The 21477-nt window shown below is 39.7% G+C and overlaps 1 protein-coding gene across 4 annotated transcripts in view, besides 1 other annotated feature; it reads left to right on the forward strand.

Annotated features, from left to right (window-relative positions):
• Positions 1-21477, forward strand: part of SLC14A2 (solute carrier family 14 member 2) — a 515726-nt gene that overhangs the window by 34654 nt on the left and 459595 nt on the right. For 2 of the 4 annotated variants that reach the window (XM_024451270.2, XM_017026016.3), the window contains exons 1-2: positions 447-773; positions 10444-10575. The gene's annotated coding sequence lies outside the window, so the exon portion shown is untranslated. Of the gene's footprint in view, positions 1-446; positions 774-10378; positions 10576-21477 lie in introns of those variants that run through there. The other 2 variants (NM_001371319.1, NM_001242692.2) reach the window with 2 other exon arrangements.
• Positions 10394-10443: an enhancer, noted in NCBI's record as "active region_13261". NCBI's record gives its function as "activates an Ori minimal core promoter by ATAC-STARR-seq in GM12878 lymphoblastoid cells {active_cell/tissue: GM12878}" and the evidence as "EXISTENCE:reporter gene assay evidence [ECO:0000049][PMID:35858748]".

Here is a 21477-nt window from a genome sequence, read left to right on the forward strand (position 1 = left end):
GTTACTTCAGTTTGGAAATTACTATAGTGGTGTAACTGGACTACAGCCTGGTTCTCTCTCAAAGAGAAGGGGATCAGATTCTATGGGAAGTGGTTCTCTTGACCTCTTCTTTGAACCTGCCTCTCCCACCTGAGTTTCATCATAAAGTATGCTCATGTACCAACATTTAACATAGCCAATTAGTTTCTCAAATGGAGTTTTCCACCTGGAGAAGGCCAGGTGTACAAGTCCTCCTTATCTTCCATCAGCTCAAAGACAATAAGATTTGTAAAAATTTAACCTCTCAGTAATGTGTAAAGAAAAAAAAGGAGGAAACCATATGGCAGAGGGGAGACCAAGCAGAACCAGAGTGGTCACAGGAAGAATCACCGTTCCAGTGGTTCTGGCTGGGGCCGCTGAGTTGGGTTGTCTGGCTACTTAAGAAGCAAATTCTCCAATGGCAAAATAATCAGGTCCTCACATATCACTTGGCCATTGAAAGAGAACGGGATGCTAATGAGAGTAGTCCGAGGAGAGGCACTTCAAAAGCAAATCTCCTGAAATGACAGACCCACGTTAGTGCTGAGGGACTAAGGAGTGGGGAAGGACTGAGTGAGCCAGGAGAGTGAGCCAGGAAAACAAGCCCCTGGACACCTATGTGCCTTCAAAGTCGGCTGTCTTCTTTGCCTTGATCACCTGAGAAGGACTCCACATTCTTACCCAGTGTGATCTCCTAGGTGATATTGACTACTCTTCTCAAAACCATCACTTCAAGGTTCAGGCGGAACTGTGGGGTAAGGCCTAGCTCTTTCTTTAATGTTGTTTCTTCTTGCTAACGTTTGGAAATCCTTCTTTTCCACCTGCTCATGAGAGAAATTATCGGTTTCTAAGTTTCTTTTCATCTCCCTTCCCACCTACCGAAATAAAAATACAACACTGTGTGTGTGTATGTACATCATCATTTTCCTATTATTAAAATATCTGACATGCTTGTTAGCCAATAGTATAGATAATTTGCAAGCCTTTTGAAGATGGGATCCTACTTTTGGTGGCATGGAGAAATACAGCTGTGATTTCACATATGGCATCTTTCAATTTCTAATTAGTTTACTTTCAACAGCACCCCCATACCCTAATCCAACACCAATTTAGATTATAGTGTTAAAAATATCATCATAAAATGTAGCCTTGTACAAAGAGATGATCTAATTATTCAGCCTTGCTGTATCAGCCTAATGAATTATGCAGTCTTGCCTACAGTATTTCACCTGACAGAATGAGTGTGTCAAACACTATAGTGCATGAATTCTCCAACCAGCCTGTGTAGGTGCCAGAGCAGTGAGTGTTTAGTACCACGATCTGAGAGTCAGTTTTACGGAGCTTGAAGAGTGAATATTAATAATTCACATTTTTTTCTGTAGGGGTTGGGAATATGCATTATCCTAAGGGGCTTGTATGCACATAGAATATATGATATGTGATAATTGTGGTATATTTAATAATGTTCATTCAAACAAAGGGTAGGCTGTTGCATAATTACTTGCACATTATTCCAGAGTGGTAATAAAAAAATCTAAGAGGAATCCCCCAAGAGTTCCAACAAGTTTATTTGGGACAGATGAAAATCAACCTCTTGAGGCTCCCGTCAGGAGAACAAGAGGACATATTTACAGCTCTATCTGTTCACATGGGAGAAAGCTCAAACATCTACTCCAGCCACTTAGGTGTACTGAATGGCCGTTAAATGGAAACCTTCGGGTCTACTTGATTGTCTGTTCCAACATCACCGTGTGTGATTGTAGAGCTGGCTTGTGCGATCCCTGTGGACTGTGGAAACTTTTGACTGGTCTGATGGAGAGTTGGTATTTGATGACCTCTGAGAACATTGCTTATCAGTGCATGTAGACTCAGTATAAGTGTGGGTTTAAAGTCAATGATGGAGACTATGTATTCTTATTTTGTCTTATAAATAACACTCTCAAGAGTAATGCATGTATTGTAAATTCATTGTGGCTAAAAAGCCAAGTGCTCATTGGCATTAGCAATAAAAGAATGATAGTTAACAATTTATGGCCTTATATTCAGGTTAACTGGCTGATGTCAAGGGAAGATTTATTGGACATATAAGCCATGGTTTTATATCAGTGAGCCAAATTCAACCAATGCATTTTCACGAATTAAAAGCAGCTTCCAATTTTAAACCTATCACTGAGATAAAAAAAAAAAAAAAAACTTTCCCAGAGAAGGTACTTACCTCATTGCTTGCCAGAAACTTTCCTCTGCCTCACACTCCACCTATGCTAATGTTGCATGAAGAGAGAAGTTTGTATGAAGAAAGAGGGAGGAGGAGAGTTGGCTGAGTGAGGAAATACCTGCCTTGGGTATCAGCTCCCTCAGCTTTGCTCAGAACACCTCCATAGGAAATGTAAGTATTAAGGCACAATTATGTGCCTGGCCATGGTATGGAACTAGGTGAGAACTTGGAGCTTCCACTTGGTGCTGGACATAGGGACCTCTCTGTGTTGAGACTCTTTTCCCCAGCATGCGGGCCTCCTAATGGCATGGGGGCCCAGACCTTCCCCTAGCAGCACCAGCTTTCAGGCAGCATACAGGGCCAGGGATTAGTATCACCATTCATCCACTGAGGGATGATGGATGATATTCTCAAATCAGCAGGCCAAAGGTGGTTTAGGTATAATTTATACAAGTACAGGTTGCATGAACTTTAAGCCAGTGTGGGAAGGATGGGCTGGACTGTTATTTTATCAGTTACCTGACAGAGGATCTTTAATGACTTCATGCTGTAAGTTGCAAAACATTTTATTAGAGTCGACTCTAAATTATCTGGGGATAGAAGGAGCAGACAAAGCTGGACATCAGCATTTGTTGAAGCGAGCCGTATAATGAGGACCATTGGGGGTTAAACACAGTAGTAGGGAAAAGGTCATTGTTGTTGTGGTGCTTAAGAGCCCTTGATGGAAAAATAGATCGGGTAGATGCAATTCAAAGACACACCACTCAAGACTTCACTGCTTGCATTGAAGCTAAAATCCTGTCACTAGCAAACCAACCTAGTGGGTTTTAGAAATCTTTTCTGTTTTTCACATATTATAAACTTGAAGATTCTGTGGATCCTTCAGAGTACAAGGCCTTACAGAATGGTCCCTGGCTGGACCTATCCAGGAATCCATTCATTCTTTTATTCAACAAATATAGAGTGAGCATTTACCCTATGTGAATCCCTGTGATTTCAACAAAGGAATCTGTTGCTCTCCCCTTCCATGCTAGTGCAGGAGGACAGCAGCATGGAAAGAGGGAGGGGGATCCCAAAGAAAAGAGGAGAGTAATGATTCAGTCCACCAGTTCCAGCCTAGAGCTCTGCATTTAGCATAAGGCTCTCAATGTACTGTGAATCCAAAAGATGATTTGAAGAGGCCGGTGGAGATGGATAGGCCATGAAAATAGAGGAGCAAAGTGTGTTGTTTCATCTGTTTATGTGAGATAGTGGTCACTGAAAACAGAGTTGATCTTTACACTGAAATTTACAAGATAATTGTTCTAGTAGACCAGATGGTGATGAAATCAAGTTTTTGGCCTTTTCACGTAGTGTTCCATGTAGCCCCTGTAGCTCAGTCACTGGAGAACATACTTTCCTGAGGTTGGTGTAGTGGAAAGGCTGTAATCCTGAAAATCTGAAAGATCAGATTCTTGGCTCACCTTTCCCACCTCTCCTGGTTCCTTTTTCATTTGTGACATGAGGGTATTTGATTAAAGAAGCCCTAACAGTGACCCTCCAGAAATTTCAGTACACACACATACACATACACACACACGTACACACACACACACACAGAGATACTTGGCCTAAAAACGAGTACTGCCTAAAGGTATTCAGCGAGGTTAGCCTTACTGTGCAATAACTTGCAAATAACTTTATTACATTTCATCCAGTTTGAAAATTCTATGATTATATTTTTGTATGCCTTTCTCCTTTATAATTGAGCATCTATTGCAAATCTCTTATTATTTCCTAGGGTATATTACTTTCCCTGTGTATGTTCTAAGGAAACTACATTTTAAAGACAAAATAATCTGAGCAGTTGAGTGCCATACAAGGCTGGTAGGCAGGTACTAGTTTGGGGAGTTCTGCAACTCAGGCCTCTGGACAGGGGGTTACATACACCAAGAGCTAAGGATACCTACAGGGTGCTGACTTGATCCATTAACAGATCAGCAGTCTACAAACTAAATATCCCAAAAATCAGAACCTGTTGTCTTTCAATCCATTGTGGAAATAAGGGCCTTTATATGGACTCCAAGAGTATTCTGGTCCAGTGAGGCAATAATTCTCATCCTATCAGAGAATGTGTATTGCCCCAGTAGGACATGGAATGCCTGGGAATGTTCATCAGTATCCAAGTTTTCTGCATAGTAGATAATGTATTAACTATATCATTTACTCTGGTACCTAATAGTAAACAACATGCATTTAGGTACATTTTTTAACTACTAGAGCATATCTGTGTGCTCTAGAAAAAATGGTGAGGCTTTGCAAGCATTTTAAGTAGACAAGGGCAGGGTAGAAGTAAAATATCACACTTTAGTCAAAAATTCATGTGGCATTTTCTTATTTGAATGTTTATAGATTCTTGTTGGAGGAAAGGGAGAGATGGAGACATGAAGGAAAGAAGAGAAAGGTAGGAGGGAGAGAAGGAAGGAAGGGAAAAAGGGGGAAGAAAGGGAGAAAAGGAAGGAAAAGGGAGAGGGAGGGGAAAAGAAGGAAGGAAGGAAAGGGAGGGGGGAGGAAAAGAGAGAGAAAGAGAGAAAGAAAAAAGAGAAAGAGAAAGCGTAGGGGATGGAAGAGGGGAAGGAAAGTGAAGAAAAGGGGAGGGGAAAAATAAACCTAATAATGTGTGTGCATATGGGTGTGTGGCATGTGAGCAGTTGAAAATCTAAGGTTGGAATCAGAATCTAAAATGGAAATTTCAGTCATAATACTTAACTGGGTTGCTAACAACAGCTTGACCATCAGCCTTCAAACAATAAAGAGAATAATTTTTTGTTAAGAAGTTGACTCTGCCGAATGTAATGTGAAGAGAGTTAGAGATGGGTCATAGAGCAAACACACAGACATAGGGGAATCACGTTTCACGATAGAAATTAGTTTAGGGTGGTTAGAAATACTTCTAGTATTGCATTTTTTTTAAAAAAAAGCTAGAGATGCCCAGAATGTTTTCTTAATAATAACTAACATTTGCAGAGCCCCTTATAATTGACAAGGCTTTTACAGCAATTACCAAAGTTAATTCCCACAGTAACCCTATGAGTTTAAATATTAGACTTCCTATTTTACAGCTGATGGAACTGCTACTCAGGAAGTTAAGGGGATTTTCTCAAAATCACTCAGGAGTCAGCCATAAAACTGGGACCCAAAGCCAAACCTTTTCACTATGAATTGTCCTCTCAGCCTCTCTGCCTTCACATCCATTGAGGCTTCTGCAGTTACCTCTATATGACAAAGCTGTAACCACCTAGAGAACAGATATGCACTTCTCACAAGCCCATGGGCACCTAAAGCTACTTCTATAACCAACACAAAAATTTGGGCTTGGAGATCTAGAATTGCAATAAAATTGTTTAAAATACAGAACTAAAATATATATTTTTTTCTCAAATACAATTCTTTGAAGTATGCCTAACTTCTATAATAATAAAGCTTTGTCGTGATAAAGTTAAGAAATAAAACCATATGAGTTGCTGAGTCATCAACAGTGACCCTGCTTGCGGACGTTCATTTCTGAGAGACATAAGAGCTAACGACAAGCTTATGAGTTAACGCAGGTGGCCAACTATAGTGGTTACAACATCTCTGGGTCCACCTCTGCTTTCATAGGAACGTGCAATATGTTGAGAAACACACCTGCACATGTGGAAAGAAGGGAGAAGGAGAGACGTTAAAGGCAGGGGACTCAGGAATGTGTGTGCCCTGGCTAGGGATCAGAGTAAGCCTCGTTAGTTAAACTGAAGAGCCCGCCTTACAGAGCAGTGGAGTGAGAACCTAGAGAAAGAAAGAGACTGAAATGGCAGACTGAGAAGCTGGGTTTTATACTGAGAAGAGTGGGGTGTCATGATGGATGACAGAGTAGAAACAGGGCAGAGTGAGTGTACTTAGGGAAGACAAATCTAGTAGGAGCATGGAGAATCAATCAGATAGAAAAAGTTAGGGGTTTGGGAGACCTGTTGCAAAGATATGGTAGTATTATGGAATGAGGTAGCATGAACATAGAAATACCAGTAAAAAGAAATTATTATTATTTCTACTATCATTATTAATAAGGAACATTGTCAGAACTGGCTTTGAATCATTTTGAGATGTATGATCAAAAATGGATTTTGAGGAATGCTGGTGCCTCTGGAAATTAACAGGCATTTAAAAAAAAAAAAAACAACAACAACTGTGGCCGAGCACGGTGGCTCACGTCTGTAATCCCAGCACTTTGGGAGGCTGAGGCGGGCGGATCATGAGGTCAGTAGATCGAGACCACACTGGCCAACACGGTGAAACCCCATCTCTATTAAAAATACAAAAAAAAAAAAAAAAAAATCAGGTGGTGGCAGGCGCCTGTAGTCCTAGCTACTCGGGAGGCTGAGGCAGCAGAATGGCATGAACCCGGGAGGCGGAGCTTGCAGTGAGCCGAGATCACACCCCTCCTCTCCAGCCTGGGCAACAGAGTGAGACTCCGTCTCAAAACAAAACAACAACAACAACAACAACAACAACAACTGTGGTCAAAATGTATAGAAATTACAGGTAAAATCAGGTTTTAAAAATTTACAGCAGGATTTATGAGACTTTATTATGTAAAATATACATTTTTAATTTCTGAAAGGATGATAGAGAATGCTGCATTTTCTGAACATTTTAAAGTAACTAGAATCACCCCTTCCTTTTTCTTTTTTTTTTTAACAAGTAAAGAATCTTTTAGAATTTGTAGAAATGTCTTAAAGATTATTCTTGACTGGGAAATCAGAAACCTAGGTTTCAAGTTAGTTAGAATCTAATGTGTAACCTTGGACTGCTGTGGACCTTGATTTCTTCATTCATCTTGCTAACCTATTTTTCGAGATTAAGAAGATAAAAAGAGACTGCAGGGAAAGAATCGAGACAGCTATTTATTCAACAGCAAGTATAGCTGATGGACATGCTCTCTTATTGAGGCAATAATTAATTGGTCACAACCATGCCCAGTGCTCCTGATTCCACTTGATATAGTCCTCTAATATCTCAGGAAATTATCTACTGGAAACAAGGTCAAGCTTTAGAATTTTCCTCTAGTTTTACAACTTTATGCATACCATGTGATTATGTCAGTATGAATGCCCACAAATGGGATGGAGAAAGCCCGATAGCATCAGAAGTGTTCCTTCTCACCAATGCATGTCTTACCTCCTCAAATATCCATGTAGGCAACCCCTACTGTTGTCTCCAGATCATGGTCGCTCGAGCCCAGGGAAGGATGCTAGGCTTTTATGCCAAGATCTAGGGTCTGCAAGACAGAAACATCCAGGATAGAATGAGTATTTCATACCCATAGATTGAAGTTGGTATCACTTTCTGCACCTGATATTCTCCAACACTGTGTACAGATTGAAATGGAACTTTACTGAAAGAGATAACCCTCCAAAAGCAGTACTCCTTTAAATAAAACAAAGGTGGCCTGGCATGCTGGCTCATTCCTATAATCCCAGCACTTTGGGAGGACTGCCTGAAGCCAAGGGTTTGAGAGCAGCCTGGACAGCATAGTGAGACCCTGCCTCTATGAATATTTAAAACTTAGATGGGCATGGGGGTGTGCACCTGTAGTTCCAGCTATTCAGTAGGCTGAGGCAGGAGGATTGCTTGAACCCAGGAGTTCGAGGCTGCAGTGAGCGATGATTGCTCCACTGCACTCTAACCTAGGCAAGAGCGTAATGCTGTTTTGAAAGAAAGTAAAGCTGAGTATTGTCATATGCCTACTGTGTGCCAGGCACTGCCACAGGCATTTTGAATGTCATCTAAGTACAGCATCATGGACCACAAGATTGGTATTGGCCTCAGCTTGCCCTTGGTTTTGAGTTTTTGCTCTGCCATCTGCTAGTGTAACTTTAACCAAACCATTCAAATTTCTGAGCCTGGTTTTCTCATCTGTAATATGGTACCAATGTATAGGGTTGTATTGAGCATAACGTGATATAGAATATGGAATGTGTTGTTGTGCATTCTGTGATTCATTCATGTTAGGCTTTATTAACACTACTACTATTTTTTTCTCAGTACAACTTCAAATATTCTCTAACACAAATGAAAGAAACAAAGACTGAGGCCCAGAATGACAAAAATCTTAGGAAATTTGCTAAGTGAAATTTTATTACTAAAGGCAACAGGCAATGTTTTCCTATTTTCCCCTTTTCCCGAGTTGTGATCTCTCTTTTCAGATAATGTTCTTACGGATCTGAAGCACCAGAGAAAATGTCTCTATTTTGCTTTGACTTTTCTAGAAGGAGCTATTGTGATTTCCATCCAGTTTTGGAGTGCCAGAGTTCACCTTTATCATGCAGCCAAAAAGTCAATTTCTTGACAGCACAACCAACATATTTTCCCAGTGCCCAAAGTACAACTTGATGGAATGCTGTTTACCTTTCTCCCCCTTTTAAATCCCACAGTCTCAGCCGGGGGCTCAGTTCTTAGCACATTATTCTTTAGCCTATAGGAAAACTAACCAATCTTAGACCAAACAGAAAACTGCACAAAATTTAAGGTGAAAAATAGAATGATCTGCAGTGTGCAAGGCAGGTATTTCAAATTCCACATTGTTTCAGATGACTTCTTTAACTTTTAGGGAGAAGAAAAAAATTACAAATTAATTCAAATTAATTGTCATGTTGATCTCTCCACCATTCTACCCTCTTCTCTTCTTTCTTCTTACCTTCTTGCCTTCTCTTTCCTCCTTCTTACTCTCCTTCTCTTCTTTCTGCTCTCTCCCTCCTCTGCTTTTTTCTCCTTCTTTATAGCCATTGTAATCACTAGTGTTGACTTTTATTCAGCACTTACTCTTTGCCAGACACTGTGCTAAACACTCAATGTACACTACATTCTTTAGTCTGTCAAAACACAATGTACAGAACAATACATTTTCTGTACAAAAAGAAAATTAAAAGGCTGATGCCCAAAGGCTACAAAATCTCCAATGACAAAAACCATACCTGAGTGGGCTGAGTTAAGATGAGAGCCAACCATCTCAATAGAAAAGGCTTTTCCTACAACATAAATGGAACTTGTATTGTTACCTTAATGCTAATGTATTTTTAGGTAAATAGTGAATGGCTTCATTTAGGTATACATGTGGATTTGATATATCTACTTTAAAATTAGTTAATATTCTTTTAAATGACTCCCATTTTAATTGAATCATATATTGGAATTAATTCTTATATATTTTTCTGTGATAGGGTTATTTAATAATTATCCTGGGGTGAAGAGGGAAAAGTGGAATGCCATATTTATTCAACTTTTTATGTATATTTGTAGTCCAACATAGATCAAACTTTTGCATAGAAGGTATTTTCATTTCGTATAGTGCACATGTGAGTATATTTGTGCAAACATACCACAAACCATATTCCCTGGAGTTAATTTGCACATTGTAAGAAACTGTAGCAAGTCAATGTGGTATGAGGTATAACTGTATTATGGTTTTGAAGCTTAGCAGAACTGGATTTTAATCCAAGCCCTGTAATTCCTTAGCTATGTGACCTTGGACAAGTTCCTTAACCTATACAAAGTCCATCAAATTTCCTTTGGTGAAAATGGGGCAATAGTAGGCACCTCTTGCAGCTGTTGTGAAGGTTACATGAGAAAGCACATGAAAAGGTCTGGCATACAGTACGCGCAAGAGAAGCTAATCCCCCTCCTCCAACGTGATCCTTATTTATTGTAATAATGGCCCCTAATCTTTAGCTACACCTATATTGATCCCTTATCTATATAATCTAACGCACATGTGTATTATTATATTGTATGTGTGTGCACATGTGATACATGAGATACACTCACAACCGCATAGGTAATCATACTCCAAAGAACACACACGTATGCCACCCCAGGTGTACCCTTCAATGTAGGGTCAAACTTAAAGACGTATAAAACACCCACATACACTCACTTTAGTCCGTTGGTACTGTATTAGGACCTGGCCTATACAGAATTGTGAAAACTGATCCGATCCCTCTGTTGTGCCATGGTTAACAGTACCCACGTATGCCATAGATGTGTCCTGGCGCCATCTAGTGGGGGATCCAACTTTCTGCTCCATAGTGCCTCCTTAGGCTGGCTCCAGCCATTGCTCCAACTCACCATTTTGTAAGCTGCCTCCATCATCCTAAAAAACGACCATGCTGAAAGAGCTCCTCTGTATTTCTTGGCAGACCCTTTCCAGTTTTCATCCTGGGTGTTTCTGAACAGGAACATATCTCATTGAAGTATTTGCACCTCTACCTACAGACAAGGAAAAGGCTTGGAGCACCTCCATTCATTGTGCCAACAGGACCTGAATGACCGTGAGTTGCCCTGCATCATTTATAAGTCCATGTCTTCAGGATCTAGAAGGAAAACTCTGTATGCTGTAATTATATGGCTTTCTGAATTCACTAAATTTAGGAATATTTTATATATTTTTTTCAGGAGAAAATATATTCTTTCTTTCAATGAGAATATTGACCCACAAAAAGACACCACCAGTCAATTGTTTCAAAGAGATGAGATGGTACTGGTCATCCTTTAGCTATGAAGGAAGCCAAGCTGGTTATAGGGAATTGTTACTACTATACCTAGATTAACCCATGGTATTCAATTTTCATTTTTTTAACTAGTAGATTTTATATACCAAAAGCATTAATAATAGTGGAGAAAATGCAGGCCATTATGGCTCTGTCTATATAGCTAATTAGTTTTGTAAGTTCTTTATCCCATTCAAAACGTTAAAGGTGACTGAGTAACATGGAAGAGGATGAGGTGAGGAGTAAATGTACTGGTTTAAATCTTATTGATTGGTTAATTAGTCCACATAACTAGTACATGCTATTAAAAACCAGTCAAATCCTTATCAATGTTCCAATGAAGTGACCAGTCAAATTAATGATCCTGTTCAGGCTGCTTATGTCACAGTAAGGCATATACAATTTGGGGGAAAGTATCAACCCATGATTCTCGCTTTCCCATCATCTGCCCCAGATCTCTGCCAGGGCCCAGGGACGTTTGGACTGACCACTTTTATTATTGTTTCACAGTCGTCAGACCAATAATAGTGCTGAAGATGTTACCTATATGATCAATAGAAATGGCCGAGCTTTCTGCCTAAGCATTCCCCACCTGCCAGGATAAAAGGAAGGGTATAGGTAGGAAAAGGGTATGCAAGAGTGACAGAGATAGGTGAGATGAGGTTCATTGCTAGATAGATTTGGCCCAAACTTCTGCTGCTACGTTAATAAGCCAAATCTTATTGAAGAAGATAGGAATTCAGACAAGAAATAAGTAGATTGTTTTACTCTTTGTGTGTATGTAAATGAGAATTGTATAAATTTACTCAACCCGACTCATATCATGAGAACTTAACTCATTTGAAAGGCTTGGGTTTGTTTTGGCAACAGTTGAATGCTCAAGTTTGCCTTCCTCCTCCTCTGTTTAAGGGGCAAGTGACGTGCATTCTGTGTATCTTGAGGGAAATCAGAATCTCGGTCTCTGGGTTGGGGAGATAGAGAGGGAGGAAAGGAAAGCCCTGTGCTTTCATTATGCTTGAAGTTGCTTATTTGCAAAGAGGTTCTTCATCAGATGAATGTATCTATTATTCCACAATGGCCTCTCAGTTCTGCTGCCTTTGTTGTAATGTTACATTTTGTATCTAATATTTCTTGTTACTGCTTAGAAATCATTGTGACTACATTGGTCTTTATCGATAATTTTATGTAGCATAATCCATCACCATGTTAGATGTTGGGGCAGGGAAGAGGGTATTACTTTGTCTTTCACTTGGTACTCAGACAGCTCTCTCATATTGATTTCTTGGCTTGCATGTTTGTTAAATGATGATTTGCACTTTTCCAGTATTATGTTTATCCAGATTATGTTTCAGATGTGTCTATAACATGTCATCATTAACAACAAACATTTATTGAACACTTACGGTCTGTGGATCAGGCTCCAGACTAGGTACTGGGAATAATAAGAGAAAGGTAATGTGACCCCTACCCTGCAGGGTTTTAGTATCTATCGGACCATGTCTTTAAAAAAAAAAAAAAAAAAAAAGAAAAGAAATAAAAGAAAAAAAAGATACCTAATAGCTTATATCCAGTGAGTGCTACAGGCAGTAAGTACTCTTGGAGTTTAGAGAAGGGAGTGATTGGTGAGGACTGGATGGTCAGGGAAGGCTGTAGGAATGAGATGAAATTTGAAAGGCTTCTTAAAAGATGAGAAGACTCTCTTTATGGGTTACTGAATACAGTGAGTTTCTAAAAACCATTGTGCCAGGAAAAAAATGCCTGTATCTTTAAACTAAAATTGCCTTATACATTATTCATGAGTTTAAGATTAAGAATCAATATTCACCTGCTTTCCACAGGGCTTTGTGCTGAGTTCTATTGTTAATAGCCTTACACGCCTGTCTTACACACCAAGGAAAAGTCAGCCCTGTTAAGTTTGTCATTTAGATTTCTGTGGCCTAGTCAACTTTTAAGATTGTCTTTTGCTTTGTCTAAAATTTGCCCTAGTTTTTCCCTTATTGAAAGCCCTAGTCAGAAAAAAAAAGAAATGGATGTTCAATGACTTCTTAAGGTTAAATGAATTTTAAGAAAATAGGAAAGGGAAAAAAAATCATGACTTCCTTGTGAATGTTGCTTCATCACATCATAAGAAGTCAAGTCTGACTCTGGAGAGGATATTAGTCCCCCAAGGGAAATATCCATTTATGAGAAGTTCTAGGGGTTTTCTTCCATAGGAGAGAGATGCTCAAACATTTTTGAAGATTGAAAACTTCACTTATTACTTCTGTGGGACTTCACTGGTCTAGATAGATATTTGCCGCAGCTTATTGACAGAAAGCTTTGCAGGAAGACTGTCTGTGGTTACGATTATTAATATTCTAAGGACTAAGCCCTATGACTTTCCCAGTACCGGTTCTTTTTACAGAATTCTCTCTGTGATTTCTATAATGGTATTTTTTTTTGGTCTCTCTGTTTTGTAATTTATTTTGGCTTTGGTGGAATGAGAGGCAGGGAAGAAACGAAATCCATGTTTTCTTCTTTTTGTTTCTTCATACAGTGTACATTTAGGGACACCTATTGAGTACATAACATGAAACATTCCACAGATCTCCAGGAAACTCTAGCCTGCTTGTTGTGTCAAACATGTAAAAAGGAGTGAACATTCACACACTCTTGAGTTAATGGGTCAGAAAATAAAAGAATAAACTTTTTTTCCCTATAACTTCTATCCTCACTTCTACCAATAGTAGTGGGGTAGATTTAAGTATTCCAATCAAGGCCAATTCAATCTTCTTTATTTTAAAATAGTTTTTTAAGTGTGGTTTGGTCTAATTTGGGCAAATATTTAGTGAATTTCAAGTATAAATGCTCAATCAGGGCTATTTTCCCTTTCACAAGAAGCACCTCTGTGTCCCTTCCCAAGACGTCGATGTGTGCAGGGAAAGCTATGTCTTCTGGGACAAGGGGGTGCCTGTGGCCTGTCCTCCCTGCTGGCCAACAGAGTGAGGCTGGTCTAGTCTGATTCCTGAATACTTTGTGCTGGCATCTGCCTGCTATGGCTAATCTCATCTGTTTTCTGGGGGTGTTATGTTGGTGCTCACAGCTGAAGCCCATAGTCATTGAAATATATCGGTGTTGGAGAGGCCGTGTATTTTTTATTCTTCTCATCTAACCCAGTGTTACAGAATCTCAGCACTCCTCTGTCCCCCACCCCACTTTCTGCGGTATATGGGAACTCACAGTACCGCTGCATGCAATGCACACATCATGTGTACTCAGAGCTCTGAGAACCACCTATTTGAGACTTCCTGCCATCTTGGACATAGGGGGGCCGAGCAGCAGTCCTGGGTGTTCTGGAAGAACTCATTTTGTCTAGTCCGATGTTTCGGTCAACTTATTTCCCACCTTTGGCCAAGGCCCAAGAAGGTTAGGGCCTTTGATTCTCAGAGAATCAAACTATATTCTTATCCTGGGGACATCCACACAAAATCCTCCTCCTCCTTATCTGGAAAAGCACTCTCCTCTTCCTATCTGGTGAGAACTTCCCTTCTTGTCTATTCTCCACACTCTAAGTTAGGGTAATAGTCTAACATTGAGTTGCCAGGCTTGGCTTCTCATCTGGAAAGAGGAGATTTTGGAATTTCAAAAAGCCCTTCTCTCTTGACCAAGCTTGACTTTCATAACCTTTATGTCTCTGTAGATTCAAAACCCAATTTTCCTCCTTTCCTTGCACTTCTATTTTAATAATCCTTATCATCCCCAAAGCAACAGATTTCTCTAACCAAATATGGAGAACACATTAAACTATATAAATATAAATATTTATATATGTTTTTATATATAAGCCAAGTTATATATCTATTATATATAATATACATATATTACATAGATATGTATTACATGTATATATACATCATCATATATACATATGTATATATAATGTACATATATTACATATTCTATAATATGTAATATATATATGCCAAGTTACAACATCTACCAAAAAGAAGAACAAGTCTCCACATAGTTATGAGTGTGATTATAGTAGCCACAGTGGGTTAGAACAGTGAGGAATGGCTTTCTTTTAGGCAGGGGGTCTTGATCTGGGCCTAAAAGAAGGAAGAAATAGCATAGGTGAGAAGAAGAGGGAAAGGGTTCTCAATCAGATTTCATATCTTCCTCCCCCACATCCCTAGAGATCTGTATTTATAACTCATGCACATTTAGCACAGTCTTTGTTATCACCAAGTTACTCATAGACATGTTTTCTTGTAAGATTTATAAATTACCTGAGGATTGGGATAACAGCATTTTGTGTTTTATATTTCTGTCTGTAATATTTTCTGGCCCTGTGCTTACATATGGTTGGTCCTTCTATATATTCAAAAGTTAACATGCTTAAAAACTTAGGATGTTAAAATTATTTTTCTCTTAGCTTTCCATTTCAAAGCTGCTGTGTTGCTTTACCTCCTATATCACAGAAGAATATTTTCAAAAAGATATCCAGGGAGAGATTTGCCTTGAATGTTCTTCAAATACCAGTTATTCAGAGTCTCCTTTCTCTTCACCCTTCTGATCTGTGGGATTTCCATAAGGTGGTCACCTCCAGTTACTTGTTTTATTGTAGTAAAACATAAATAACATAAAATTTACCATTTTAACGATCTTTAAGTGTACAGTTCATGGGCATTAAGCACATTCACATTGTTGTACAGCCATTGCCCATCTACGTCCAGAACTTCATCCCCCCGAAGTGAAACTCTTTAATCATTAGATAATAACTCCTCACCCCTTCCTTAGCCCATGGCAACCACCATTATTTATGTCTCTATAAATTTGATTCTAAGTACCTTATATAAGTAGAATCACAAAATATTTGTTCTTTTGTTCTAGCTTATTTGGCTTAGCAAAACATCTTTAAATTTCATCCATATTGTAGCATATATCAGAATTTACTTCCTTTTCAAGGCTGAATAATATTCTATTGTATGCATAGGCCACATTTTGTTTCTCTCTCACCTCAAGTTGATGAAGAAGATAAAATGCTTGTTACTGTCCAATCGGCATCTATATGCATGCTAGTATTTTTGGTAACTTGATTCCCTTTATATTGTGAAATATGTGACTGTTTGACTTCAGAGCTTGAATACAGACCTTCCTAAAAATATATGCCATGTGGTACCCACCAGAAATAGCATTTCCTCTGAGGCAGTAAATAGTAATTCTGAGGTCAAGTCGAGTAATAGCTTGGACTTTTAAAAGAAAAACAAACTTTTTAAATTTTATGTCTTTAAGCTCTCTTTCTTCTGCAAGTCTTTGAAGTGGCTAGAGACATCAAACCACTAACTGGAGGAACACTAGTTCCTCGGACTGCTCATCCTAAAAAGATGCCCCGCACGAAAGCAGTATGGAAGGTCAAATCGATTTGTGAGTGTAGCTTTCAGTAGCACCCCTTGCAGGTCCTCTTGGTCCACATGCACTAAATCTCTGAGAAGTCTTGCTGCTTTAAAAAAAAAAAAAGCTTCATTGATTTTACTCAGCATTTTCCAAACACATCTGAATTCAGAATTAATTTTTAGTTGTTATTTTGGTAATACTTTGAAATATGCTGGATTAAAACAAGGTAAAATCTTTAAGAAGATAACAAAAGTCAGGGCATCTGAAAAACAAAAAATGTATAAGTGAGTCCTCTCAAAGCGCTGACCTCAGTGGATTGTGATCCATAGACAAATAAATTTGCCTCAATTTTCCCATCATTAGGACAAAGTCACTTAGATTCATAGTCAGATAATTCATATTATTCGTTTTAAAATCCTTTAGCTAAACTGAAGAATTTTTCTTGCCTGCATAAATAACATGGAAAAATCAATGTAGTAAACCCTTTTAATACTCTTGTCTGCATTTTTGTGAAAGGCATATAGCAATGTTATTTATATAAATTTGTTTAAATAAAATGCTGTGTAAATAAAATTTCTTCTACAGTCTTTTGCTGTATGGAGCAAGTAATAAGTGAAGGCAGTTAAGTCCTTTGTTAGAAGCATATTCACCACAAAGGAAACTGATTATTAACCATGGGGTCGGTCCTCAGGTGGTAGAATCTAGAGAGTAAGAGGAGGTGAAAGGCGAACGGTTATCAAAGCCATGAGTAAAATATTCAGTGGGGGCTATATGAGACTCATGGAGAAAGATGCATTTGCAAAATAGCAAAGAGAGCTAAAAGAAAAACAGTTCCTTGTTTTCGTGCCTCTGAAAACCTGAAATATCAGTTACAAAGGACTTTTCATAACTTAGTAAATTTCTTATTGTTTGTCTTTAACCTGCGTTTTTAAACTTTCCTAAGTAAATACCTTTAGTTTACTTTTAAACAAGCACCAGTGTTATTGAGGGACAGAGAGGCAGGAAAATACATGCAGAAACTATGTTTTAGGAAGGGGAGAATCCCTGCAATAGAATGAATGAGTGGGCAGTGATAGAAAAAGACTGCAGAGAAGGAAAAACAATCAACAAACAAAATCAAATGTAAATAGACCACGAAGTTATTTAAGGTTTAAGAAGTAGTCCACATGGCCGATACTTGCAGAGGGTTAAGACTTTGAATCTTAGCTCAATGATAGATTTTCTGTCGGAAGTTAAGGTGACCATGCTACTTTGTTTTCTGACAGACAGTAGGCATGCAGTAGCTATCTGGTAAATGAATGAGTGTCCACCTTAGACTTAGATCTGATATTGCTCTCTATCAGCTGAAGTCATTCCTAATAGAGCTAGGAAGTACCCATTCCTGATAGTAAGCAAGCAGCTGATTTGGAAGTTGGAAAAATGCCCCTGGAAGTGTCATCCCGTCCTGTTTAAACCAAATCACCTGGTCTTAGCCAAGTGACCACCTTCACTGGGTTTATCTTGCAGGAGAGTCTGTCTGAGGTAAACACCATCTAGAAGGAAATGCCAAGTGGTTTTTGCAATCAGTTATCAGGCCCTTACTACGCACAGACTAAAAGTCAGTTTTGTCATTACTTAGTCCTAGGTTTCTGGATTCTTTTAAGGGGAAAAGGTGTTTAGCAAACAAAAAATGTTGGGCAGCCACTAATTCATCAAACTGAGGCAGGGTTTTAAACTTGCCTGTCTTAAGCTTGACCTGTGTCCCTAAATGAGTCTACAGTGAACCTGTCTGTCTTTCTGTTGTCACAGGCATTGGGCCTTGGGACAGGGTAAGAAGCCATTTGGGATACAAGTCACCATTATATTTGCTGAAGGCATTTGACATCCTGCACTCGTGCCCTTTAATTGCAAGACTTAGAGACTGAACATGAACTAATTTGAACCAAAAAGGGAAATGTTAGGATATGTATTAATTTGCTAGAGCTGCCATAACAAAGTACCATAGACTAGGTGGCTTAAGCAACAGAAATTTATTTTCTTGTGGTTCTCGAGGCTGGAAGGCCAAAATTAAGATGTTGGCAAAATTGGTTTCTCCTGAGGCCTCTCTTTTTGGTTTACAGAGGGCTACCTCCTCACAATGTCCTCACACAGCCTTTTCTCTGTGTATGTACATTCCTGGTGTCTCTTTTCTGTGCCCAAACTTCTTCTTCTGTTAAGGACACCAGTCATATTGGATTAGGGACCATCACAAGAGTCTCATTTCAATTGAATCACCACTTTAAGAGCCCTATCTCCAACTACAGTCACATTCTGAGATTTTGGGGGTTCAGGCTTCAACATATGAATTTGTAAGATGAGGGCACAGTTCAGCCCATAACAGGGTCATTTAATCAAACCATCTAACTGCCAGGGGTACAGCTGGACTAGGAAAAAGAGAAATCACTCATGGTCAAGATTTTCTTCTTCTAAATGTTGTCTTTGCTCTTGTCTTTCAGTCTGCTCCATTGTTCTGGAATAGCTCATGGCTTCTAGCACCTCTAGCCTCACATCCTTATTGCATTATTAAAGATAAAAAGAAGTGCCCTCCTCCCAGTTTGTGTTTGAAAAATCCAGGGGAAAGCCTCTAATTGGCCTATCTTGCATCCTGTGGTCTCCTACGGGCCAGTGTGGCATGGGAGTGAGACACTTTGATTGGTCCAGAATCAGCCGGTGCTCACTACCAGATCAGTCACTGCAGCCGGGGAGGCAGGGTGTAATCAAAATAGCAGCCCTCATCTGGAACATATTTCAAGAATGAGTGGGATGGGAGGAGGAGGTGTTCTCCCAGAGAAGCTTACCACCAGAAAAAGTGTGACCCATACAGATACTCAATGTGTCATTTGGGAGTCAAAGACTGTCAAGTCAGCAGGAAAGTTTCAGTGCAACGTGAGAAGTACCCTGAATAGGGATCTCATGTAACCTTCAACAGAAAACATGCAAAGGGTTTTAGGACGGCACTTGGTGGGCACCAACAATGTCTTAGAGTGTGTAGAGGTCAGCAAAGACTTCACATAGGAAAGGGTCTTCAACCTAGCCCAAGGAGAAGAAGGCTAGCCACATAAAGTAAGGCATGGGAAAGATAGACAAAGGCTTACATAAAAGTTGAGGATGGAGAGTACACATCCTCAAAATAAGCAAGGTTGGAAGACCCATGGTGGATCAAAAATGAGCATACATTTTTGGCTATTTTCTCAATGAAACAACAAAGCTCAGAAGTCCATTAAGATACAAAGAGAGAAGATGGAGAACGTAATTTGGTTTGGTTCTCTTAATAGAGTTTAACATTTCCCATAGCTTGAGTACAGAACTACTAGTCTGGGATTTGACATTAACTGTGACTTTGGGCTATAAACCTTTTCTTTGGTTCTCAGTTTACTTGTTTATTTCAAATAAATTGGACCGTATGAATGTTTAGGATCCTGCCAGGTCAATTAGTTGCTACTTATCTTTCTGCCAAAAAAAGTATAAGTATGTTGCTTGAATGTTGGTTATCAGCTCCATCTGGTCTCAGTACTGACCTCGTTTTTGGAATGCAAAAATCTGCATTTGGCGTGAGTCCTGTCCATGAAGAACTGCAGACTAATCATCAGGGCTTAAATGTGAACAATGGAGTATTAGTGCCAGGTCACCATACTGAGACTGACATGTGAGAAGTACAGACAGTTCTGTTCTAAGGGCTCAGAGGAAGGAGAACAGTGGTGAGAAAAGCTTGACAGAGAAGTGGGATTTCAACTGGACTTTGAGGATGGTTGTGATTTACATAGGCAAAGATAAGGAGGGAGGTCAGAGAGAATGGGGGTTGGGTACCAGCTGGATGGGGTGTGAACAAGAAGGCAGAGGTGAGAAAGAGAAAAGCTTATTCAAGGAAGAGTCATTCAGGTCTGCAAAAGATCACCAACTACCCTTTGGATATCACTGCACACTATCTATTTTAAATATTCCAGGCCATTTTTATTCCTTTGTTTAATACTTCTTATCCACTTGCTTGGATCGACTTCCCTAGAAAGTTGGTCCTACTCATATAAAGCAGCCATTTATGGGGCTTGGATAGTGTAAGATGGTCTCTCCCTTTCTCAGTGCCTGCATTCCCCAGTGATACTCAGCTGAGGCCGCAGAAAACCCTTTACTTCCCACTCAGTCCTGTGCAGGGCCTCAGGCACCCCATCAAGACTAACACTAAACAAGGAGGGTGTGAGGGCTGCCATCTTGACCTTCATCCTTATCACCATGGACCATCATGGCCAACAGAACTATATGCCACGTACTCTATGCTAAGGCATTATAGTTATTATTTCATTCAATCCTTCCAGCAGCCCTATAAGATGGAATCTGTATTATCTCAAATGAGGAGAATATTGCTTAGAGAGGTTCAGTGACCCACCCAAAGTCACAAGATGGTAACTGATGGAACTGGGACTTAGGCTCTTGTCTCTGGTCGCTGGGAGCTCACAATCACTGCGTGTGAGAGGTCACAATGACGGAAGTTCAGGAAGGCAAACAGCCCACCGTGGGTCATGCATTAAGCACCATGGAGAAAAGCAGAGAGAGACAAAAGAGGATCTTTTGATAGATGCATATGTGTGTGTGTCTCTGTGTGTGTGGTCTCCTACCTAGAACACAAGGGAAAAAAATTTATTACTTGCCTGAATGTCAGAAATAATTAGGGAAAACCAAACACAGTCAGAAATCCTGGTCTCTACTAATGGATAGTCAGAGAGGAAACTCACTCTCAGACAGGGTCTTCTTTCCAATGGTTAGTTTTCATGATGTGTGTGTTGGTGGGAGGTACACACACCCCCTCCCCTGGCTAGGCTTCCATGGCTAATCTCCCCAAGGAGTACTTATGTGGGAGGTAGCACTCTTTCCCACTGACCAGTGGGGACACAGGTGCCCTCTCCTAGCTCCCTTAAGGACTCTAAGACTCAGCCAGCCCTGAGGTCCAGAGGCAGGAGATCAATTGCCTGGGCCAGAGCCCTGAGGTGGGGCTTTGGAAACCCAGAGACCTTCAAGGCTCTAGACTCTTCTGAGCTGAAGTTGAGCTCTCTGGGGCAACTCCAGGGAAACAGGCCCTTTGTGAGGTGCTCCTTTGATGAGAAACATAATATACATACAAATTGCTATTATGTCAGCTTCTGAGAAGCCACTTCAATCCATTTGGGCACCTTTGATTTTATTCCCCTCCAATTCCTTTCCTTCTTTAAAAAAATTAATAAGAGCATGTTTTCATCTGGCCTCAAGAGAGTAATTTATTTATTCAAAGTAATAATAAAGTTTCAGCATAATCCTTAG

The sequence above is a fragment of the Homo sapiens genome, chromosome 18, assembly GCF_000001405.40.
Source record: "Homo sapiens chromosome 18, GRCh38.p14 Primary Assembly".
Taxonomy (NCBI): Eukaryota; Metazoa; Chordata; class Mammalia; order Primates; family Hominidae; genus Homo; species Homo sapiens.